At 48.9% G+C, this 25,265-nt stretch overlaps 1 protein-coding gene across 2 annotated transcripts in view, besides 3 other annotated features; it reads right to left on the minus strand.

The window, feature by feature from the left end:
• Positions 1 to 24,787, minus strand: part of MYLK3 (myosin light chain kinase 3) — a 60,965-nt gene extending 36,178 nt beyond the window's left edge. Inside the window, exons 1-2 of one of the 2 annotated variants that reach the window (NM_001308301.1) lie at positions 24,581 to 24,787; positions 1,598 to 1,688 (exon numbers count right to left, since the gene is read on the minus strand). Coding sequence is in view for 1 of the 2 variants with exons in the window: in NM_182493.3 (NP_872299.2) it covers positions 1,598 to 1,688; positions 9,258 to 9,734 (568 nt within the window). In the remaining variant the exon portion in view is untranslated. Of the gene's footprint in view, positions 1 to 1,597; positions 1,689 to 9,257; positions 9,886 to 24,580 lie in introns of those variants that run through there. The other variant, NM_182493.3, reaches the window with a different exon arrangement.
• Positions 4,876 to 4,925: an enhancer, noted in NCBI's record as "active region_10773". NCBI's record gives its function as "activates an Ori minimal core promoter by ATAC-STARR-seq in GM12878 lymphoblastoid cells {active_cell/tissue: GM12878}" and the evidence as "EXISTENCE:reporter gene assay evidence [ECO:0000049][PMID:35858748]".
• Positions 8,822 to 9,671: an enhancer, noted in NCBI's record as "H3K27ac-H3K4me1 hESC enhancer chr16:46781193-46782042 (GRCh37/hg19 assembly coordinates)". NCBI's record gives its function as "activates a minimal SCP1, AML or CMV promoter by ChIP-STARR-seq in naive H9 embryonic stem cells {active_cell/tissue: H9 hESC(naive)}" and the evidence as "EXISTENCE:reporter gene assay evidence [ECO:0000049][PMID:30033119]".
• Positions 18,520 to 19,055: an enhancer, noted in NCBI's record as "H3K4me1 hESC enhancer chr16:46790891-46791426 (GRCh37/hg19 assembly coordinates)". NCBI's record gives its function as "activates a minimal SCP1, AML or CMV promoter by ChIP-STARR-seq in primed H9 embryonic stem cells {active_cell/tissue: H9 hESC(primed)}" and the evidence as "EXISTENCE:reporter gene assay evidence [ECO:0000049][PMID:30033119]".
• Positions 24,788 to 25,265: the final 478 nt, after the last annotated feature.

Here is a 25,265-nt window from a genome sequence, read left to right on the forward strand (position 1 = left end):
AGGCTGAGGCAGGAGGATTGAGCACAGTAGATAGAGGCTGCAGTGAGCCATATTCACGCCACTTGCACTCCAGCCTGGGCAACAGAGTGAGACCCCATCTCAAAAAAACAATCTCTAAGCACAGCTAAGGAGTGATCTCTGAATATACTGTAAGTGAAAGAAAGCAAGGTGGAGAATGGTGTGTCTGGCATCCTGTTTCTCTAAGAAGGGAGCATGTGTGAGTGTGCATGTGTGCACATGTGCACATAACCACTGATCATGTTGTCTAGTTAGACTGGACCTCAAGGGAAAGAAAAGACAAAAGTTTTTTAAATGGTTACTTACATATCAGGGGAGGAAGCAGGGTGCAGAGAACAAAGGTAGAAGATAGACTTCTCTTTTATTTGTTTTTTATTTTTGAGACAGAGTCTTGCTCTTGTCACCCAGGCTGGAGTACAGTGGCGTGATCTCGGCTCACTGCAACCTCCACCTCCCTGGTCCAAGCGATTCTCCTGCCTCAGCCTCCTGAGTAGCTGGGATTACAGGCACATGCCACCATGCCCAGTTAATTTTTGTATTTTTAGTAGAGACAGTATTTCACCATGTTGGCCAGGCTGGTCTCGAACTCCTAACCTCAGCTGATCTGCCCACCTCAGCCTCCCAAAGTGCTGGGATTACAGGTGTGAGCCACCGTGCCCGGCCTCTTATTTTGAAGTAAAAAAAAATTTCATAGTGATGGAGTCTCACTATGTTGCCCAGGCTGGTCTCAAACTCCTGGGCTCAAATGATACTCCTGCCTTGGCCTCCCAAATTGCTAGGATTACAGGAATGGACCATTGCACCTGGCCTCTAGACTTCTCTTAATACGCATTGTTTTGTCTATTTGACTTTGGAACCACATAAATATCATGCAAAATTATACAAGAAAATTAAAGGTTAAGAAAGTAATCCATAAACATTTAAAGCATTTGAGTAACAAGTTGGTGGCATAGCCTGCACAGAAAGGTACTACAGTTGGCCCTTGAGCAACACAGGTTTGAACTGCACGGGTTCACTTAGACGTAGATTTTCTTCCTCCTCTGCCACCAAGACAACAAGACCAACCCCTCACCTTCCTCATCCTCCTCAGCCTACTCAATGTGAAAATGACAAGAATGAAGACCCACTTCCACTGAATGAATAGGGAATATATTTTATCTTCCTTGTGATCACCGTAATAACATTTTCTTTTCTTTAGCTTACTCTAAGAATACCATATTTAACAAGCATGTGTTAATTGCTTATTTATGTTATCAGCAAGACTTCCAGTCAACAGTAGGCTATTAGTAGTTAAATTTTGGAAGATTCAAAAATTATACTTGAATTTTCAACTGTGCAGGAAGTCAGTTCCCCAACCCCGAGGTGTTCAAGGGTCAACTGTATTCCAGGTGGTTTTGAAATGCAGCAATTGACTATGTGTCTCTGGTGGGATATATATGACAAAAAACCCTGCAAAAACAAGAAAAAAAGAAGCTTTGACAGTTGCCCAGGAATCATACTGTGGGCCGTGTTGTTGGGGCCTTTATTCTGAAGCTGTTGTGTCTGCAATGTTAGATAAAGCAAATGGGGTCCCACTCACCTTCCCCAGGCTCCCTGGCATCAGACTGCACCCCACTGGTGCTCAGCACATGCTTTGGTTTTCCTCCCTCTTCTTCCACTCGCTCTTTATTCTAAAATAACAACCATAAAAAATGTCATCATTATCATCAACATTGCCATTCAGGCCACAGACATTTGTTTAGCACCTCCCCCTTGTTTAAGATAAGGGCATTTAGATTACTTCACACAGTCTCACAGTAACATTGGAGAGTAGATACTGCAATTATCACTTTAGAGAGAAGGACACTGAGGCCTTCCCAACGTCATAAAATTTAAAAGAGGAGGCGCCCAGCTTCACACCCAGAACCACCTCCTTTTCCAGGGCTTCACCATATTCCCCATAAGGGATGAACCCAGCCCCCGATACAGGGTTCAAAATAGGCTGGACCCCAAAGGACTTAGACTACAGATGCAAAATAATCATTTAAAAATATATACATAAATATATATATATACATACATATATATATATATATTTTTTTTTTTTTTTTTTGAGACAAGGTCTTGCTCTGTCATCCAGGCTGCAGTGCAGTGGCACAATCTCGGCTCACTGCAACCGCTGCCTCCCAGGTTCAAACGACCCTCCCAGTTCAGCCTCCCGAGTAGCTGGGACTACAGGCATGGGCCAACATGCCCGGCTAATTTTTGTATTTTTAGTAGAGACAGGGTTTCACCATGTTGGCCAGGCTGGTCTCAAGCTCCTGGACTCAAGCTACTCTCCCTCCTCAGCCTCCCAAAGTGCTGGGATTACAGATGTGAGCTACCACGCCCGGCCAGAGATGGAAAATAATCTCAATATGCCAACCCAGATCAACTGGTCATGGCTACTACAGCATTGGTTTCGGTTGAATTCTGAAGTCAAATCCATGCTTAGGGGGAAACAGTGCCAAGGTCAATTAGTAATGTGTGCCTGGGAGCTGGGTTGGGGGATCCCATGGTCACCTCTTTACAGTGTAGCAGTGTAGCCAGGGGCATGGACTCTGGAGCCAGCCATGCTGGGTTTGAACCCCACCTTCACCACTTGGCCAAGATCCTTAAATTCTCTGCATCTCACTTTCCTCATCTGTAAAATGGGGATAATCATGTTATCAGCCTTGTAGAGTCAGTAGGAGGATTTGGGAGTAATGTGCAAATGTCCTAGAAGTGTGCCCAGCACATAGTGGGTGCTCAATAGCTCTGCTAATTTTGTCCTGCCAGGAACCAAGAGCTATCAGTGTTAAATGAGCCCAGTGTAAGGAACTGGCCCAGAGAAGCTCTCAGAAGCTTTTCCTTAAATCCAAAGGGTCCACACCAGACCAGTGCCTGGCCTGCCCATGCTTTCACCCATAAAACAGCCCAGAGCCATCAGTATGCTTAGTTAGTCCACACTCAAGCAAATATTTCCAGATGGTCTGACCTCTTGCAAGAGCATGGTGCTTCTGGGGTTTGGACCCTTCCGTGAAGTCCCTAAGATGAATCCTGGCACATGTTACAGCAGCAGTGCCAGCCACAGCCCAGAGCCTTGCTGGGCCCCCAGGCATAAGGCACTCACCAGTCTCCGGGCTTCTGTGGCCAAGGCAAGAGAGGCCGCTGTATCAGTGAGTGCCTTACACCTGGGGGCCCAGCCAGGGCCTTCCCCTGCCTTGCCACAGAAGCCCTTAATTAGAAGCCCAGAGGCCAAAAACAGCTCAGGACATATTTTGTTGGGCTTGCAATTTTTTTTTTTTTTTTTTGAGACAGAGTCTCGCTCTGTTGTCCAGCCTGGAGTGCAGTGGTTGGATCCCAGCTCACTGCAGCCTCGACCTTCCAGGATTAAGTGATCCTCTCACCTCAGCCTCACGAGTAGCTGGGACTACAGGCACGTGCCACCACCTCCAGCTAATTGTTGGTTGATGTTGTTTTATAGAGACAAGGTACTCACTTTGTTACCCAGGTTTAAATTTTTCAATTTATTCCCAACTTTTAAAATCTATGAGATTTTTACAGTCAGGATCCATTTTGGGGTGACAGAATTGTTTCCCATTTTTATTGTGGTGATGGTGACATGGATGGAAACATTTGTGGAGCTATATATTTGAAATGTGCATAGTTTGTGTGTATGTGCAGTTTATTATATGTAAATTATACCATCATAATTATTATGTAATTACTATACCTTAATAAACTCACTAGAAAAAAAAAAATCTAAGTTCCCAGCTTTTCTTTAAAAATCTGAGGATGGCGGGGCGTGGTAGCTCACGCCTGTAATCCCAGCACTTTGGGAGGCCGAGGAGGGTGTATCACATGAGGTCAGGAGTTCAAGACCAGCCTGGCCAACAGGGTGAAACCCTGTCTCTACAAAAATACAAAAATTAGCCAGGCGTGGTGACAGGCACCTGTAATCCCAGCAAAAACACACACACACACACACACACACACACACACACACACACACACAGAAAAAAACCTGAAGATCTGGCAACTCTAGGCCAAGATGGCAAAACTCGGCTAGGGCAGTCCCCTCTAAGCAGGGCACCACAGCTGTCCCAAATGTCTCCCCAACCCTAAGGTGGTGGTTCCACTGTTTGTCTACATCATGCCCCTCCTCTCAGTTACTACCTGCTCATTATTTTGCGATTCCAGGACACCAAGCTTTGACCTCTGAACAGTAAGGACATAGCACATGGAGAACACACAGCCCAGCACCGGCGTGGGGGAGGCACTTCATCAAAACTGCTCACTGCCGCTGTCACCATGATCACCAGCGTCATCAATGTGGCCCAGATCCCCTGCTCGGCAGACAGCTCCCCCTTATCCTTCTGCAGGCTCTGTCCTGCTGCCCCCGGAGCTGGGGGAACTGGAGGCATGAAACAGACCTCCTCCTCTTTTACCCACTGGCAGAAAGGGACTTGGACAGACTGTCCTTTGGCAGACCTTGTTGGGCTCAAACTGTCCTCTCCTTCCCTTATCTTTAGGGTAGGCAGGCGCATGCGTACGCACCCCCCACCCCCAGCTGGGTGCTGTCTTCAGGGCTCAGCCTTCTAGTCCCTGCCGTTTCTGTGCTTCCTCACACACCATTCTAGAAGACTGGTGCCTCTGAACACATATGCCTGGGGCTGTTTTCCAGGAGACCGCACCTGGCTTCCAGGGATCATCGAATTCACTGCTGGAACCAAATGAAGTGCTGCTGGGGACTTCTGAAGATCTCAGGAGGACCTTCAAAAAGTCCTGGCACAATTTTCAAATTTAACCGCCAGTTGCTAGGATTTAATTCCATTCCACAGATGGTTGCCATGCCCCACTCTCCCAGGAAACACAGTCCCCAAGAAGCCTCCATAATGCACGGCGTTCAGCACTGACGATGTGTTTAGCAGCTGTGGCTGTGTCTCAGTTCACCGCTCATTCTCTGAGCCCTTCCTGCAAGACCTGCCCTGGCCTCAGAACACGGAGGGAAGCAGAGGCTTCCTGTCAATGGGCCAATCAGCAGCCGACAGCCTGATGGGGAGCCTGGACCAAACCTAAAGACATTCCTAACATGTTTATTAAACGCCAGGACCAGAGGAGAAATCTAGCAAGTTCCAGTGGGGCAGGACAGACGGGAAATGGCACAAGAACTCAGAAAAGAGGAAGCTCTATGACTTCCCTTACCCAGAAATGCCTTCATGCAACACGTATAACAGCTAATTTCATTAATACATGAAGTGCTCTTACAAATCAATAAGAAAAAGGCAAAAAAACAAAATAGGAAAGAGGGGGAAAAGATATGAGCAGGCAGTTCACAGAAAATACAAAAGGTTTCAAACCTGTGAGTGATGTTCAGTCCTCTAGTAAAATAAATATAAATCAAAACTATGAGACATAAACCAAAACTAGCTTTGGTTATATTTGAAATTTTCCATAATAAAAACCTAAAATTTTTTCATAAGTTCAAAAGGTTAGCTTTAAGAGACATATAAATAATTGTCTTATCTGGGTCTGATACAAATAAACTGTAAATTTTATTTTATTTTATTTTTGTGAGATGGAGTCTCGCTGTCACCCAGGCTGGAGTGCAGTGGTGCAGTCTTGGCTCACTGCAACCTCCGCCTCCCGGGTTCAAGTGATTCTTCTGCCTCAGCCTCCCGGGTAGCTAGGACTACAAGTGCACGCCACCATGCCCGGCTAATTTTTGTATTTTTAGTAGAGACGGGGGTTTCACCATATTGGCCAGACTAGTCTCGAACTCCTGACCTCGTGATCTGCCCACCTTGGCCTCCCAAAATGCTGGAATTACAGGCGTGAGCCACCACACCCAGCTTTTTTTTTTTTTTTTTTTTTTTTTTAAGATGGTGTTTTTGCTCTTATTGCCCAGGCTGCAGTATGGTGGTGCAATCTTGGCTCACTGCAACCTCCAACCTCCTGGGTTCAAGCAATTCTCCTGCCTCAGCCTCCCAAGTAGCTGGCATTACAGGTATGCGCCACCATGCCCAGCTAATTTTTGTATTTCTATTAAAGACAGGGTTTCAGCATGTTGGCCAGGCTGGTCTCGAACTCCTGACCTCAGGTGATCCCCCCACCTCGGCCTCCCAAAGTGCTGGGATTACAGGCTTGAGCCACCTCGCCCAGCCTAAAATATTTTTAAAGTATAAGATAATCAGGGAAATTTGAACACTGAACTTCAGTAACACTAAAAAGTTATCATTTGGCCCAGTGCAGTGGCTCGTGCCTATAATCCCAACACTTCGGGAGGCTGAGGCAGGAGGATTGCTTGAGCCCAGGAGTTCAAGACCAGCCTGGGCAATGTAGTAAGACCCTGTCTCTAAATAAAAATAAATAAACAAAGTTATTCACTTTTTTAGGTGTGATGATAGTATCAAGATTATGTTTTTTAAAAGAGCCCTTATCTTTTTGCTATAAATGCTAAAACATTTATGAAAGAAATGATCCAACATCTCAGATTTCCTTAAAATAATCTGAAGGGGGAAGTGGGTGGGGAAAAGAGAAAAAAAAAAACATGCACAATAATTTCCCGTTTTCATTCACCAGAAAGGCAAAGAATCAAAAGCATTCCCACACCTTGATGGTAGGAGACTGATTTGGAGTAACTTCTTTGAAGGCTGACTTGCCTTTATCTGTATAAATTTACCATTTGGCTTGGTATTTCCACTGCCAGGAGTGTAACATGCAGATAAACTCACACTTGTGTTCAGTGACATACATCTATGGATATTCACTGCATCTTTATTTATAGTTGCTAAAAATAAGAAACAACAGAAACAAACGAGGATCTGGGCTGGTTAACAACTGAAGACACAGCCCCCAAAGGGAGTACCCAGATATATTCATAACGATATGAACATCAATCAATGCCCAAAATATATTAAGTAAAAAATTAGAAATCGGGGCCAGGACAATGTGAATAACATTTGAATTAAAATAAAACAATTCTGCCAGGAGCGGTAACTCACACCTGTAATCCCAGCACTTTGGGAGGCCAAAGCAGGCAGATCACTTGAGGTCAGGAGCTCAAGACCAGCCTGGCCAACATGGTGAAACCCCATCTCTACTAAAAATACAAAAAAATTAGCCGGGCATGGTGGAGGGCGTCTGTAATCCCAGCTATTCAGGAGGCTGAGACAGGAGAATCGCTTGAACCCAGGAGGTGGAGATTGCAGTCAGTCGAGATCGCGCCATTGAACTCCAGGGGTGACAGAGTGAAGCTCCGTCTCAAAAACAAACAAAAACAACAAAGCAGTTCTGGTGCTACAGATTGTGGGAAAAACAAAACAAAACAAAAGGGTGCTGTGGATACCAAACAAAAGGGTGCTCCAGATAGAGGCTTGTAGACACAGCCTCTATCTGGAAGGATTCAAAGGAACTCAGAATCCACGCTTGCCTAGGGGGCCAGGGTATTGGTGTTCTGGGGCCTGGGGGATGGAATAGGAAGGAGATGTATGCTCTTTACTCTACATGATTTTTTTTACTATGTGCATATTAATTTTGTTAAAGCTATTGATTAGATCTATTTTATTATTTACAGTCGTGACTCTGTATGTGCCAGGGATTGGTTCCCGGGCCCCCTCCACAGCAAAATCTATGGCTGCTCAAGTCCCTGATATAAAATGTCATGGTATTTGCATGTAACCTACACACACCCTCCCATACACTTTAAATCACCTCTAGATTACTTATAATACCTAATAAAATGTAGATGCTATATGAGAAGTTGTTATACTATTGTATAACAACTGTATTATTATTTAGAGAATAATGACAAGAAAGAAAAACCTGTACATGCTCAGTACGGACACACCATCATAGGACTAAGTACATTTTGATCCGAGATTTGATTGAATCTGCAGATGTAGAACCCACAAATATGGAGGGCTGACTATAATTAAATTAAATTTCTTTATTTTTTTTAAGAGACAGGGCCTCACTCTGTGGCCCAGGCTGGAGTGCACTGGCACAAACATAGCTCACCGAAGCCTCCATTTCCAGGACTCAAACAATTCTCCCACCTTAGCCTCCCGAGTAGCTAGGACTACAGGTTTGTGCCACAATGCCTGGTAAATTTATTTATTTATTTTTTGTAGAGACGGGGTCTTCCTATGTTGCCTAGGCTGGTCTCAAACTCTTGGCCTCAAGCAATCCTCCCACCTCGGCCTCCCAAAGCACTAGGATTACAGGCATCAGCCACTGCACCCAGCATAATTTTATTTTTTAAAGCCGGGCTTTGTTAGGGTCACACTGCCCTGCAGGCCAAGTCCTCAGAAAAGGCACGGTGCAGACAGCGGGGGCTAGGGAGAGGGGCAGCTCTGAAGGAGCTGCAGGGCAGGGAGGGGAAGGGGCAGCAGGGGAGCTCTGGCCTGGTGCGGGGAGGGGAGGCATGCTCCTGTCCTCGGCAGGCAGCCGACACAGAGTCAAGCACGGACCCCTCTGACCCCAGCTCATCTCTTGCCAGAGGCTGGTGAGTCACTGCAGGGGTCTGAAATGGTGGCTCCAGGTTGTCTGAGTGTTGCTAAGTGGCTGACCCCTAGCTGTCCCCAAACAGGGTGTTCCCTCTACAGACCTCACCCCCCATATCCTTCTCCCAGCAGCCAAGCTTCCATTAGCCTGCAGGATTGATTATGCAACTCTTAGGAACAGCCGCTCCCAGGAATGCCACCCTCCACCCCCAGGCTCCGGCTCCTGCCTGCTGTCCCCCTGGGTCACTGTCAACACTCGTCTCCCCACAGGCAGCTGCACTCTCCACTCCCTCTGGAGCTAAGCTCAAGGTTGGGGACAGGAGGTGGCGGGTGGGTTTCTGAGCAGGGCTCCATCAGGACAAACTGGCCACTCCTGCCTGTCCCACCCCATGTGTGAAGGAGCAGAAGGGCAGTCACGGGGGTGTCAGAGAAGTGTGGTGGTCCTCCCTCCCAAACCGCCAGCGTGTCCCCCACAGCTAGGTTCCCTGGAGCTGCCAAGACCCTGCAGTCCTGGCCAGAGCCCCGCTTCTTCCCTTCCCTGGGGAGAATGGCAGGCAGTGTCCGGACTGGAAATCCACCTATGACCTGTAAGTTTCCAGCTCTCCTTTTCCCCATCAACAGGTCACACAGGAAGGGGACACCATGCCTCCAGCTCTCCAAACACTGGCTGCCTGGCCAGTCTCCCACCAGGGCCGGGGCCTCCCATCCAGCCAGGGCAGGGAAGCAGGAACCAACCTCCTCAGGGCTGTCACCTGGGCTGCCTCTCCTCCAGGGCACACGCCCCTGCATGAGGAAATCCGCCACCTTTGATTTCTGGAACGTGGCCCCCACCAAAGCGATGGCCCTGTCCACCGCAGCCACCATCCTGAAGAGGGCCTCCAGCCTGGCACCGTGCTGGGCCGCATCCTGCTGCATGGCCCTCACCAGCTCCAGGACCTCGGGCCACCCAGCCTGGGTGTCAATGTGGGGAACCCCATCAGCCCCGCCCGGGCCCGGTGCCCGGGAGGCCTCCAGCCTGTGCAGGCCCCGCTCCAGGTGGCCCATGTCTCGGCACATGCTCTGCAACTTCTCTGTGACATCTTCTTGGAAGTGCAGGAGCTGGTCCACCTTCTCGTTCAGCATGTTCAGCTTTGTGTCCATGGTTGTTAAGCAGGTCTTGCCCAACCCTGGCAGCCCCCCATGCCCCAGACTCTCCTTGGAGGTTCCTGACATGCTGGTGCAGGCTTGACAAGGGCAAGAGCGGGGAATGAGGAGAGGCACAGACCCCTGGTTCTCACTCAGGCGGTGGTGTCTGCAAGGTCATTGTCCTCCGTAGCTGACAGACTCCTGGCAGCACCAACCTCCACGATGGCCTGGGCTGTGTGAGGAGCGCAGAGGCCCAGGTTCTTCCTGTGCCTTTGCTTTGCTTATCTCCCACCCTACACGGGCCTGTGAGTGACAGGCCGAGGTCAGCCCAGGCCCTTCTCCTTGGGGCCCCTTTGACATCACGGCAGCATTTAACATTCCTCTCTGAGAGGCTGCTGATGGGCAAATATGTTAAGAATCTGCCCAGAGCCAGCAGGGTTCATGCAACTAATGGTTCGGAGGAAAGGAAAGGGTCCTTTGGAGAACGGCACCTGCCAGCTGGGCTCCAGGAGGGATCCCAGGGCGGAGGAAGGTCCTTAGAGGCCCAGAGCCCTGAGGCCACACACATCAGAGTCACAATAAAAAGCAAGACCAAGACAGAAAGGAATGTGAGACCACTCAGCAAAGTTGTGACTTCTGCCATGATGAAAATTTTGATGCTTCTGCAAATTTAAAACAAACTTCAGGTGCCCCTACTACACCAGCGTTCAGAACATGTGTTTAGACTGTCTGTGGGGTGGCCGGCAGGTCCCTCCCCACCGGAGCCCTCAGTGACTAGTCCCTTGTACCTAAAAATAGAACTGAGGGCAATGGCCCTGGCCACCTGCCAAGCGCTGTCCCGAGGGCCATGTTCTTCACAGGGCCCTCAGGGGGACACTCACCAGAGACACCTGCTCCCCCAATAACAACTATGCAGGTATCAGACATGCAATTTCCATACTGAAACAGACTAGCAGGGACCCAGAGCACAACAGGCCTGTGTTTCCTGTGGTTTACAAACGTTTTTGCCTTATAAGCCCTTGGTTCAAATAAAACGTTTTACAGAAGTATCAGTCAATAAAGCAGACACAAGCAGAGATGCTAAGGTTACCCCCGAGGTGGGGCACAGGGAGCCCCTTAAAGTCCCAAGGACGCCACGGAGCAGTCTGACCTACACCATTTCCATCCAGCTCCCCGTGGGCAGAGGGCAAAGCCCAGAGAGGGGCATTTGCCCAAGGTGGCCCAGGCAGGCACACGGCCTCCTGAGGATGGTCCAGCCATGGGCAGGGCTGCCCCCAAGGGAGGGGGCTTTAGTGTCCCCCTCAAGCTTCCCCCTTCTGAATAAAAGCAATTATGATAAAAACTGACCTGGACATTTGGAATCTAAAAGCACTATTAGGGCCGGATGCAGTGGCTCACATCTGTAATCCCAGCACTTTGGCAGGCGGATTGCTTGTGTCCAGGTGTTCGAAACCAGCCTGGGCAACATGGCGAGACCTGGTCTCTACAAAAAATAAGCCAGGCGTGGTGGCACGCACCTGTGGACCTAGCTACTCAGGAGGCTAAGGCGGGAGGATTGCTTGAGGCTGCAGCGAGCTCTGATCCTGCCACTACACTCCAGCCTGGCCAACAGAACGAGACCCTGTCTTCAAAATAAATAAATACACGAAAGCACCATTAGAGGTTTTGCTATGTTAGACCATTAACCTATCAATGCAGTGAGCTTGCTATGCAAATGCAGCTTGACCACAACCTTCTCTACCTACCCTTCTATCCCGATAGTTGCCCCTGGGCAGCCCACAGAGAAATCCAAACCCATTCCTGAGAGCACAGCCCTGGGTGTCATTGGTGGAATGACCCAGAACATGCTAGAAAGAGCAGGGTCTGTTATATTCACCGCCACTGAAAACAAACACACAAATAAACAAAGTCTCCCTGGAAAAGGAAATTTGAGGGGTAACCCTGTGTTCCAGTCCCTCTGGGGATTCACCGTGCACCTCAGGAGGACCTCATCTGCCACAGAAGACTCCCCCACCCGACCAGGGCAGGGGGCTCTCCTGACACTTCACACTTAGCACTTCCCTGCAGATCGGGGCTCCCTGGGCCAACCTTTGGGAAATGGCTGCTTAGAGAAGTCTCAGAAGTCTAACACACCCAGCCCCTGTGCCTCTCCCCAGCTGGTGCCCATAATTTTTGTGGAATAAAATTCCCACCAGACAAGAGAGGCAGACCCTGGTCTCTGGAGGAGAGACTTTATTATTGCCACTGCTGTGGAGATCTCTGGAGAACCAGCAACCAGGCAAGTCCTGGGTTAATAAAGCCGGAAAGGGCCGGGTGCAGTGGCTCACGCCTATAATCCCAGCACTTTGGGAGGCCAAAGCAAATGGATCACGAGGTCAAGAGATTGAGACCATCCTGGCCAACATGGTGAAACACCGTCTCTACTGAAAATACAAAAATTTGCTGGGCATGATGGCGTGCACCTATAATCCCAGCTACTTGGGAGGCTGAGGCAGGAGAATTGCTTGAACTGGTAAGGCAGAGGTTGCAGTGAGCCAAGATTGCGCCACTGCCCTCCAGCCTGGTGACAGAGCAAGACTGTGTCTCAAAAATAAATATATAGGCCGGTTGTGGTGGCTCATGCCTGTAATCCCAGCACTTTGGGAGGCCGAGGCAGGTGGATCACCTGAGGTCAGGATTTCGAGACCAGCCTGGCTAACATGGTGAAATCCCATCTCTACTAAAAAAACACAAAAAATTAGCCGGGTGTGGTAGTGCATGCCTGTAATCCCAGCTACTTGGGAGGCTGAGGCAGGAGAATCTCTTGAACCCAGGAGACGGAGATTGCAGTGAGCTGAGATCACGCCATTGCACTCCAGCCTGGGCAACAAGAGTGAAACTCTGTCTCAAAAATAATAAAAATAATAATAAATAAAACAAATAAATAAATAAAGCCAGAAAGATAACTTCAAAGTCTAAATGAATCCAGAGGAAAACACCAAATACCCCAGCCATGTATCTATAACAAACATGAATTATCTGAGGCCGGGCGTGGTGGCTCATACCTGTAATCCCAGCACTTTGGGAGGCCAAGGCAGGCGAATCACTTGAGGCCAGGAGTTTGAGACCAGCCTGGTCAACATGATGAAACCCCATCTCTACTAAAAATACAAAAATTAGCAGGACATGATGGTGAGCACCTGTGATCCCAGTTACTCAGGAGGCTGAGGAGAATCACTTGAACCTGGGAGACAGAGGTTGCAGTGAACTGAGATGGTGCCACTGCACTCCAGCCTGGGTGACAGAGCAAGACTCTGTCTCAAAAAAGAAAAAAAAAAGAATTAAATTACAAAAGGATTTGTCATGTCTTCATTAAGCAACAAGTTTACAAGGTAGCTCATTTGCTAAGAAGGTGGCTGCGGCTGGAAGCTCCCTGAGGGCAGACCAAGCCTCTTGGGCTTGGCCTGGATTCCCGGAGGCACCAGCCGCCTGGTACATGGCAGGTGTTCAACATGGAGGAATGAGCTAAGGAGGAGGCAGCAGGCGGCTGAGCAGACCGTCCTGAGACTTCTGTGGAAGGAGGAGGCCTCAAAGTGAGCACAGGGCAGGAAACCCTGACAATCCGGGAAGGGAGCTCCAGGGAGCTCCGGGGCCCTCTGGGAGAAAGCCTAGAACATATTGCAGGCAGTTCCTGGGGCCTCTGTGGTGGAAAGGAGTAGCCAGAAGGACCAGCTTTAACCTCTTTCATTCTCACTTTAGGAGAAATGAGTTTGGAGCACATGGATTTCCTGCGGGGATGCTTCTCTCTAACTCTCCCTGATGCACAGGACACAGCAGGGGGCTTGGCCAGTTTTTGGGTGATGGTGCTTGCCCAGAGGATGGGGAGGCATTGACCCCCCAAGCCAAGAGAAAGAAGACCAGAGAAGAGGTAGCTGAACTGGATTGACAGAGCAGCAAATACAATAACCCCTTGTCTTTCCTGGGTAAGGACAGGGCAGCGGATCCTCTCGCGGAAAAAGACAGGCTGACCTCTATTCACCCTAGGGTGGGGCCAGCACGCACCAGGCCCCAAGACCCTTCCCTGGCCTTCTGGTGACCTAACAGTCTCGGGGATCATGGGGTGAGAGAGATTTCAACACCCTCATTTTATTTTACTTTGTTTTTTTCTAAGATATGGTCTCGATCTGTTGCCCAGGCTGGAGTGCAATGGCACAACCACAGCTCACTGCAACTGGAACTCCTAGGCTCAAGCGATCCTCCAGCATCAGCCTCCTGCATAACTGGGATTACAGGTGCATGCCCCCACACCCAGCTAATTTTTAATTTTTTTAAATGTCGTCACCCAGGTATTAAGCCTAGTACCCACTAGTTAATCTATACAACAAGCCCCCATGACACAAGTTTACTTATGTAACAAACTTGCACATGTATCACTGAACTTAAAAGTTAAAAAAAAAACTTTTTTGTAGAGATGGGGTCTTTCAATAACTTTCCAGGCTTTATTAACCCAGGACAGTGGTGGCTCACACCTGTAACCCCACACTTTGGGAGGCTGAGGCAGGAGGATTGCTTGAGCCCAGGAGTTCAAGACCAGCCTGGGCAACATAGCAAGACCCTGTCTCTACAAAAGAACATATATGTATATATTAGCCAAGCATGGTGGCATGTGCCTGTCATCCCAGTTATCAGGAGGCTGAGGCAGAAGGATCTCTTGAGCCTGGGAGGTTGAGGCAACAGTGAGCAGCAATGGAGACACTGTACTCCAACCTGGACAACAGAAAAAGACCCTGACTCAAAAAATAAAATAAAATAAAATGATATCAAGGCTCTGACTCAAGTTGAAAGACTGACCTCTCATATTTCTCTCCTTCCCCTCCAGAGACTTCACGGTAAAGGAAGAAAATAAATACCCACCCGCAACGATGAACAGAATGGAAGGGGCCATTGGTGAATGAGTGTTATCAATGAATTTCTAGGAGATAGAAAACTGGTGGAGGAGAGGTAACTGGAGAAACAAGAAAAACTGCAGCCTCACTGGCCACAAAGGTGAATACAGATACAGGCGAATACAAAAGCTGGCATGGAGCCAGCTTTCCCTGTAGGACCCCAGAGAGGCTTCGGACCCCGATACCCCCGGTAGGGTAAATGGGGAGCAGGAATGCAAGACTGAAAAGTCCATCCCTCCTCCTGCCCCACACCTCAGCACAGAAGGGCCTGACCAGGCCCACCCTCCCTAGAGATCAGAGCCTGCTTCTGGAGAAATGTAATGGTCCACACCACAATAGTTCCAGGGGCTGGCTTTTGGGGTTCCTCAGGAGCGTCCCACCTGATCATCCTCAACAAAACCATGCAGTTAACAAGCCTCAACCACCCACCCAGCTGTTAGTACCTTCTTCAGAAATATGCACAGACAAAAAGGATCACTGGATGTTCAAAGAAAGCCTTCAAGATGAAAAGGGAAGACTAAAGCAAATAAACAGAAACACGATCATAGAAGAAACAGAGAAAATGAGAAACAGAAAGTTTCAAAAAGGCTGTCATTTTGCGGGGTGAGGTGGCTCACGCCTGTAAACCTAGCACTTTGGGAGGCCAGGGTGGGGGGCTCGATTGAGCACAAGAATTCAAGACCAGCCTGGGCAATATAGGGAGACCCTGTCTCTACAAAAAAAAAATTTTAATTAGCTGGGTGTGGTGGCATGCACCTGTACTCCCAGATATTTGGGAAGCTGAGGTGGCAGGATTGTTTAAGCCCAAGAGGCAGAGGTTGCAGCGAACTGTGTTTGTGCCACTGCACTCCAACCAGGGTGACAGGACGAGACCCTGTCTCAAAAAACAAACAGACAAAGCTGTCATTTGTGGCCACAGAAAAGCGTGAAAGGCTATTCCATTCTTTAAAAAAGGAGAGGATGCTATGGAAAAAGACAACTGTAGAATAAAAGAGAGGCCTTGGAATTTAAAAATATGAATAGTAAAATTTAAAAATTCAATATAGGGATTCGAAGATGAAGCTAAGATAATGTCCCAGAAAATAAAACTAAAAGATAAAGACATGTGCAGGAGAGAAAGCTGTTTGACAATGAGTCCAGCTAGCCTTATATCTAATTAACTGGAGTTTCAGAAAGAGAAATGAAAGAAGGAAAGAATTTATAAAAGAAATACTACAGTCATTATGCAATTTTAGAACACAGGGATAAAGAGAAGATTTAAAAACTCCCTGAAATTTAAAAGAAAAAAAAAAAACACATACTTGTGAGAATTTGTCCCCTTCAAAATTCATGTCAAAATTTAATCCCAGTGTGGCAGTATTGAGAGGTAAGGCCTTTAAGAAGCAACTGGATCACGAGGTCCCTGACCTTATGGGTTAATGGATGAATAGGTTATCATGGGAGTGGGCCTGGTGATTTCATAAGAGGAGGAACAGAGATCTGAGGGAGCACACTCAGCCCCTTCGCCATGGGATACCCTGGGCCACCTCTGGACTCTACAGAGAGGGCCCACCAGCAAGAAGGTCCTCACCAGATGCAGCCCCTCAACCTTGGACTTCTCAGCCTCCATAACTAAAGAAACACATTTCTTTTCTTTATAAATTATCCAGTTTCAGGTATTTCTGAAAATAGACTACTACACATACCAAACAACTAGAATCAGAATGACATGAAACTTCTCATCCTAAAAACAACTGGATGCTGGAAGAGAGGCTGGATGTCAAAGTCTAGATAGGAAAGCACTTCCCCTTAGAATTTTGAAGACATTACACCACCATCAGAGAACAAAATGAAGGGTTTTGTGATTTGCAAAAATGCAAACAATTCGTGCTTTTTTTTTTTTTGAGACATGGTCTCACTCTGTCACCCAGGCTGGAGTGCTGTGGTGTGATCTCGGCTCACTGCTGCCTCAACCTCCTGGACTCAAGCAGTCTTCCACCTCAGCCTCCCAAGTAGCCAGGACTATGGGCGTGTGCCACTACGCTTGGCTAATTTTTGTGGGGTTTTTTTTAGAGATGGGGTTTTGCCATGTTGCCCAGGCTGCTTTTGAACTCCTGGGCTCAAACAATCCACCTGCCTCAGCCTACCAAAGTGCTGGGATTATAGGCTTGAGCCACCACACCTGACCCACGCACGCTTTCTAAGGAAGCTGCTTTGACGATATACTCCAGCAAAATGAGGGGGTAAACAGCCTGGCCAACAAGGTGAAACCCCGTCTCTACTAAAAATACAAAAAAATTAACTGGGCATGGTGGTGGGTGCCTGTAATCCCAGCTACTCAGGAGGCTGAGGCAGGAGAATTGCTTGAACTTGGGAGGTGGAGGTTGGAGTGAGCCGAGATTGCGCCATTGCACTCCAGCCTGGGTGACAAGAGTGAAACTCTGTCTCAAAAAAAAAAAAAAGCTCCAAGAAACAATAGCTTCAACCTAGGCCCAAAGTTGAAGCAAGAAAATCAAGAGTGTTCAACAGGAACCCTCCCGGGGGAAAAAGAGTGTACAATAGAATGCAATTAAACACATGCAGCAAAATGTGGAGAGCATGGGACCTGGAGTCAGACTGCCTGGATTTAACTTCTGCCTCTGCCAGTTATTAGCCAGAGCCATGGGCCATTGTTCACTTAACCTCTCTGAGTCTATACTTCCTTGTTTGTAACAGGAGAATAATAATAACACATACCCTCATGGAGTGGTCGGGAGGTGCCATGAGAATGCCTGAGAGGCACCCAGCAAGTGCTCAAACATTAGCCATCAGCATGATGATGGCAGATATGGCAAAAGGGGAACAAAAGGAATTAGAGATGCCAGGACAACTAGAGTTCTTTTTTCTTTTTTCTTTCTTTTTTTTTTTTTTTTTTTGAGATGGAGTCTTGCTCTGTTGCCCAGGCTGGAGTGCAGTGGCGCGATCTTGGCTCACTGCAACCTCCGCCTCCCGGGTTCAAGCAATTCTCCTGCCTCAGCCTCCTGAGAGTAGCTGGGACTACAGGTACATGCCACCACACCCGGCTAATTTTTTGTATTTCAGTAGAGATGGGCTTTCACCGTGTTGCCCAGGCTGGTCTCGAACTCCTAAGCTCAGGCAATCCACCCGCCTTGGTCTCCCAAAGTGCTAGGATTACAAGTGTGAGCCACCTCGCCCAGCCCAGAGTTCTTACAAGAAAGAATGAGATTAAAATACAATCATTGATTTTGCATTGAAGAATATTTACAGTCATAGTAAAGTAAACCCTTTATTAAGTAAAAGCAGTGACATCTGTCTTGTGAGGGTGAGGGAGGGAAAGTGGGGAGTGTGAGAAAGCTAAGTCCTCATTTATCTTACCGGCAACTCCATATATCATGCACAAAACAGAGAATGAAGAAATATGGAGGCAAATATCAAAAGAAACAAAGAAACAGCTTCAACGTGTTTGCTTCTGGGGACCAGGACAGGAGACGGGTTATCCAGAACCTAAGGACAGCCTCTTAGGGGAGAAACACACAGTGCCCTTTGTTGATTTGTGTATTTATTTATAACAGTCGTGTTGCAGCGTGTAGCAGTGAAAGGTCTTGTTCTAACAAAATCATATATGATGACGATTTTCCGAGGGAAGGAAGCCACATGTTGAGAGGAAAGTTTTCTAATTCACACAAAATGCCATAGGGGCTCACGGTGCACCTGGCACTTAGCCTCTGTGAACACAGGTTTCCTCATCTGCACTGGGGGCCCATTAACTGCAATAACCACAGGGCTGTTGGACATTAACGTAAGCAAAATGTCTAGCACAGCACCTGGCACGTGGTAAGTCCACGAAAATGGCAGCGATTGGAACGGCCATCCTTAAGACCAGCCACACCTTCTCCCCGTCTGACCGCAGACGGTCAGCCCAGCAAGGCAGCAATGTGCTTGCTCAGTCACTTCATTGTGGGGTGAGGGGCAGGAGGAGGAAGGGGGACAGCTTCCCAGTCCTAAGCCAGTGGACCTCCTCCCAGCCCAGGCCACCTCCCCGCCCGCACCACACCATTGCTGGAATGCACTGAGGAAGTACACACATCTCCTCCATGGCACCAAGCTCACTTAAGAAAGGAAAGCAGAGATGAAGAAGAACTCCAGAAAGCCACGCAGAGTTTAATGCGGACAACTTCAGGGGTAGCTGCCATCCACATTGTCTGTCCACCACACGATGCATTTGTTGCAGAAGGCCCAAGCTGACCATCCCCAAACTGTCCCCCTAAACCAAAGCTTTCTGCTGACTTTCTTGGCGCAAGAGAACCCAGGACCGGGGAACAACTGTCACCAGGTCTCCCTTAGTCCCGTGCCCTACCAATTGTTCCTCAGGCTCTTACTTCAAAGCACACTTGCCCAGAGCTGCCCTTACCGCAAATATCTGGGTGTAACCCGACGCCCGCTGCTGGCCTCTGGTGCTGGGACCGCGCAGTGCTGGAGTGGGGCACAGAGTCCCCATCCATCAGCCACTGTGACTGTGCCAACTCCGTGTTTACTCTGCCTAGAGATGGATGCTGCCCAAACGCCCGGAGCGCTGGGAATGAGGTGGGCTGGCTGGCCAGGATGATTTCTCTGGAAGAACTCAGGCAGGAGCGATAAGCCTGGCATTTCCGCTTATCTCTGACCCTGTCCAGGCCCCAGCGGCATCCAGAGGCTTCACTTGGTTATCTGCCTTGCTGGGCTCTATCTGCCTCCCCGGGGGCCTACTTCCTGCATCACTTAGCAAAGTGTCCAGCTGTGAAACAAACACCGTGTGGTCCAAGGAGGGAGGAATGAAGGGAGGGAGTCCTCGGGCAGAACTGACCTGAGTTCAAAACCCCACATCCGGGTGCAGGGGCCCTGGGGATGTGCAGGGACTCCTTGCATTCAGGGAGCCCTGAGGACAGAGGAGAGGCCGGGTCTGCAGCAGAGAGGTGGCGGCCCTGCAGGTCTTCAGTGGGGCTGCTTGTACCCTGGCCGGACCTGGTCAGTCACTTCTGTGCTGGGAGGGTCCTGCTATTGGCCCTCCAAATAAAACTACTCAGGAGGCAGCAAAGAGGCACAGAGTCCCCAAAGCCTGGGGCTGCAGTGCAGGAGAAGACAAGGAGACAAGGACACGTGGCTCTGTCAGGGACATGCCAGGGAGGGCTCCCTGGCCAGATCTTCCCAAAGCGCCTGGGAGAGACCAAGCTATACACACACACACTGCCATACACACACACACTGCCTCTCTCTCTCCACACACACACACACACACACACACACACACACACACACTCTCTCTCTCTCTCTCTCTCTCTCTCTCTCTCTCTCTCAACTTTGGGACCACAAATTAACTAGCTTGGCTGACGGGAAGGAGAGACAGGGCTGTCGGCTTCTGTACGCACTCACAGCCCCTGCGCTGAGCGCTTTGGCTGCCTCTCCTTATTTGAGACACACTGCAGCCCTGTGGGGTGGGTCATTGTTTGTCATCCCCATTTCACAGAGGAGGAGCAACCTGGGGAACTTTAACAGCTGCCCAGGGCCAGTCCCCCAGAAAGGCATGGGGACAGCGTTCCAACACCATGCTCATCACTCACACCCTCTGCCACTTTCACAGACAGGAGGGATCTCAGACACGAGAAGGGTCATTTCCCTTATTTTGTAGATGGAGATTCTGACGCCCAGAGATGGGAAGGGGCTTTCTGAAGGTCACACAGCACGTAAGTAGCAAAGACAGGGCCAGATGGTAAAACCATTGCCCTTGTAATGACCTGGAACTCCCTGGCTCTGTGGGTTGAGAGGTGTGTGCGGGGTGCGGGGTGAGACTGGATATAGGCTCGGCTCTGACGGTTGTCTGAGAAGATGGGGAGAGGGCCGAGGGGCAGGGACTCCGAGATATTCAATATTGGTTGCTTATTCTTCCATAGTAAAATGTCTATGACCTGTCTCATCCTGGCCATACAGAAAGATGATAAAGCAACAGCCACAGCCCTGCCAGGATGAATCAAGGAGCTGAGCTTGGGAGTAAAACCAAAGTGCAAGTCTGACTTTACAGAAGTGGAGAGGGAAATGGCAGCCTCAGGGAAACCTGGCCTGGTGAGGGGGTGTCCCCACTGGCTCTCCGGTGCCACTGGGTTTGCTCCCAGGATCTTACTGCCTTCTGTGTGCAGTCCTGCACCCCTGGGCGAAGACTTCTCATTTACTCTCTTCCTTCTCCACATGCAAGTCAAACTGTTCCCTGCCTAAGCAAAGTCAAATGGAATCAGCCTGAAAATGCTAGAGAATAACAAAAAAGCACCCCCTGAAGCTAAATCCAGACCAACGGCCATTCATCCATCCATCCATTCATTCACTGAGCAACAACAAACACTTATTAGGAAATAATAACACTAGTGTTGATTGAGCCAGGCACTGTGCTACATCCTTACATCAATTACTGTACTTGCCCCTCACAACAATTCTAGGAGGAAAAAACTGTTATCCCCATTTCACAGGCAAGTAAACTGAGGCACAGGGTGACGAAGGCATGTTCCAAAGTCAGACTCGAGTTTGCCTACAACTGAGGGTAGTGTCACTGCAGCTTTCTTTTCTTTCCTATTTTTTCTGCCCTTTTCTCCACTTTTTTTTTTTTTAATTTTTTTTATTTTTGCTCTGTCACCCAGGCTGGAGTGAAGAGGCGCGATCTCTGCTCACTGCAACCTCTGCCTCCCGGGCTCAAGCAGTTCTCCTGCCTCAGCCTCCCTAGTAGCTGGGATGACAGGCAGGCGGGCACCACCACACCTGGCTAATTTTTTGTATTTTTAGTAGAGATGGGGTTTCATCATGTTGGCCAGGCTGGTCTCGAATCCCTGACCTCAGGTGATCCACCCTCCTTGGCATCCCAAAGTGCGGGATTACAGGCGTTAGCCACCACGCCCAGCCCCTTTTCCACATGCTCTAATCTCACTGAAACTTTCTGCTTTCTGTCTAGAACCCAACTTTTTCTATGAGGGGCTACATCTTCCAGCTGCCAATTCAGAAGACTCAATTATGCTTAAGTTGGAACCAGGACAACCCGCCTCATGCAGGGTTCCATCTGCAAAGTCCTTGAGCACCAGTGCTCGTGATCTCTGCTCATCCAAGGGGGAGGGACCACTGCCCCATTTCACTCGTGGAGAGACTGAGGTCACAGGGAGAGTCCGCACGAAGCTGGGCCTCAGACCTGGCTCTGCTGCTCTGGGGCCTGTGTTCACTGTGGACGAGAGGGTTTCTGGAAGTCCCTTCGACTCCTACAAACACACGCGCAGCTTTGGGACCCCACCTCACCTCCCCGGCTGACAAGAATCAGAGAAGGGACTGCAGGGTCTTGAAGTTAACTCACTTCTCTCAGCCCTACCGTGGGCAGGCCCTGTGCTCAGCACCTTAGCTGCACTGTCTTATTTAATCCCCTTCACTGTGCCCATTCTTGTGGGCTCTGAGCTCTGCTTGTGCCATGGGAAACCCCAAAAGTCTGGACAGGAGTGAGGTTAACACATAGGAACAACAGAGAAAGTGGGACAGTCGCTAACTGCAAGGTGCAGGGGACATGAGTGAGATGGGATGACTATGTAACTCACCAGTGCTCCCAGCCCCACCCCACATCCCATCAAAAGAACTTTCTCTTCACCTGTGAACTCTCTCCCCTCAGTCTACCCCTACCCTCTGAGCTGAGCCCAGTCCCAAGATGTCTTGGTATCAAATCTGAAGAACTGGTAGCAGAGGCGGGACCTGAGGGTCCATAGGAGAGGACTTGGTTGATCTGGGTAGCAAAGTCCCAACACTGGGGCAGGAAAAAGGTGACACAGACACCGAGCAGGGTCTGAGGTCTGGGGAGGGACAGACCCTCAGGCAGCCGCAGGATGTGAGAGAGAATGGGTAAGGGCAGAGGAGGGTTTGGAAAAATGTCTGCTCCAAGATATAAATGGTTGTTGGGGATCAAAAGTTGGAATGACACAGTGGCCAGGGCAGGCTTCTGGGGCCCCACATCTGCAGAAACTCAGCCACATGGTGCCAGCGAACTCAGCATGTAAGAGGGAGGCAAAAAAATTAGGGAGGACTTCTTGGAGGAAATGGGACTTGAGCTGAGCCTTGAATGATGGGCAAGACTTGGAAGGCTAAGAAAAGACGGTTCTAGTGAGGTCACAGAGGGAGCAAAGCTCAGGTGGAGCCTGGCAGGTGGGGGTGAGGATGCAAGGACCACCCTCCAGCCACACGACATCAATGGAGGCCCAGCAGGTGGGACCCTTAAGACAGTGGACCAGGAAAATTAGGCCGAGACATACAGACCTGAAGCAGCAAGACAGAGGGACAGTGATGCTATGGAACATTTTGGGGTGGGCAGTAACATGATAAAGTTAGCATTTAGGAATGAATGGAAGTGATTACCTGGGGTGGGGGGATTGGTGCAGAGAGGATACAAAGTGAATTCTGGGATGCTGGAGGTAAGTGTTTTATGTCTTGGGTGGTGTCACAAGAGTGTATGTGTATGTTCAAATTCCATAGGCTGAGCAGGGCACAGTGGCTCACGCCTGTAATCCCAGCACTTTGGGAGGCTGAGGCAGGTGGATCACCTGAGGTCAGGAGTTCGAGACCAGCCTGGCCAACATGGCGAAACCCGGTCTCTACTAAAAAATACAAAAAATAGCCAGGTGTGGTAGCACACACCTGTAATCCCAGCTACTCAGGAGGCTGAGGCAGGAGAATCACTTGAACCTGGGGGGTGGGGGTTGCAGTGAGCTGAGATTGCACCACTGCACTCCAGCCTGGGCAACAGAGCGAGACTCCATTTCAAAACAAAACAAAACAAAAAACAAATTCCACAGGCTGTAATGTGTGTGTATTGCACTGCATGTAAGTCATGCCTTAATCAGTTCTGCTAGCATGAAAAAAAAAAAAAAAGGAAGGAGGATAGAGGGGAGTGGTAGGGACCAGCATCCACATAGAAGCTCAAATCAGCAAGTGTTTACCACTTCTGGGAAGCATGTTGTTGCCAAAACACAGGGGCGCTAAGTGGAGCAACATCTCAAGGAACGAGTCTTTGAAAGTTCTTCCAAGGCCTCTCATTCTGCCACCCCGCAGGCGGGCAACAGAAGCAGGACCCCTCCCTGCTGCAGGCAAAAAGGCAAAAATCTCTAAGGATATGCAATGCTCTTCCAGGTTTACTAGGTAAAGACTTCACCTCAAGCGTATACATAGAATCCCATTTTTGTTGAAAATATACATGTATGTATGCCAGTATGGTTCATTCCGCCTGTGAGAATTACAGATAATCTCTATTTTCTATATTTCATTTATATTTTTCTAATAAAAAATTAAGTGTGTAGTTTATTACTCAACAATTTTTTTCTATAATAGTCATCATTCACCTAGAGCCAGAGGAATTATTCTAGACAGATGATACGCCTAAGAGACAGGTTTAACTAACCAAGAACACGGAGCAATAGACTCCCGCAGGACCCCAGCTGACGGAAAACATTTACAAACGTTATTGGGAGGTCTGAGGTCAATTGCTTAGGCTTAAATGAACAGAAACATGTCTATTTAGCAGCCGCAGGAAGACTCCTCAGAAATCACACATGTCACGGGGAAGGAACAATTATCCTCCTGTGTGCTTTGTTTTTAAATAGATTCCCCACCCACCTTGGGAAGAAATGTTCCAGACTCCATGTACAACTCATAAACCACACAGTAGAATTGGGAAGTTTTGTAAAGCAAAGTTGGCAAATATTTGGGAACAATCACTACAGCATTCTCAGATGATCTGAGCACCTGTATGACTCATCACAGCGACAGGTGGAAAACAATTCTGAAGTCTGAGTTACACATGCAATTCTCCCAGACCTGTACAAAACCAAAGCAAACCCATGCACTTGCAACCAAGAGCTGCTCATTTTTCTTGTCGTTTTTGATCAGACTCCAAAAGTGTTTTCTGGTGGGTCTACAAGTCCCTAATACACTGCTGAAAACACCCCCCCACACACACACAGTAGGTTTATCACTGCACTTACATACCACTTTCCATCCATGGGTCCCAAGGGATCTGTCCAAAATCTTGTTTTCATAAGTCTCCAGTGAGATGTATAAATATTGTTACCTCCATCTTATACACAGACAAACTTAAACCTGGAGGCAGTTAAGTGGCTTGTCAACAGTTATAACCCAAGACAAGATCTGTGCAAGCTGCCCTCTGGTCTCCCTTCCTCTGCTGGTCGGCCCTCTGAGCGTTCTCGTTGGCTCCAGTTTAAATCATGTCCGTAGACCATTGTTTCCCTGGCAATGGAGGTGGTATTCTATTTCCTGCCCTGAATCTGGCCCGGGGCCCTGACTGCACCGCATTTAGCCACAAGTGCATCAGCCGTGCGTGAGTGGGGACAGCTTGGCTCCCTGGAAACCTAAGTGGCGTGTGTCAGCTGGCCCAGGCCTGCTCAGAGCCGCTCCAGGCCATGCTGCTAATTCCTCCATCATTTGCCCAAAACAACCCACAATGAAGGCGATGACTTCTCTTGGAGCTGGGCGAACAAATGGGAACATCTCAAAGGCAAACTCATTGGCTCTGCTGCAGTCTGGCCCTTGGGGAGAAATAGCTCTCAGGCATCTGGGACCCGGGTGCCTAGATCAAAACAGCCCTCCCTCTGCTCATTTCCGTGGATGAAATGAGCATCCATGCTTTGCTGTAGCAAAGCGTGCAGGTCACTTG

The sequence above is a fragment of the Homo sapiens genome, chromosome 16, assembly GCF_000001405.40.
Source record: "Homo sapiens chromosome 16, GRCh38.p14 Primary Assembly".
NCBI classification, from domain to species: Eukaryota; Metazoa; Chordata; class Mammalia; order Primates; family Hominidae; genus Homo; species Homo sapiens.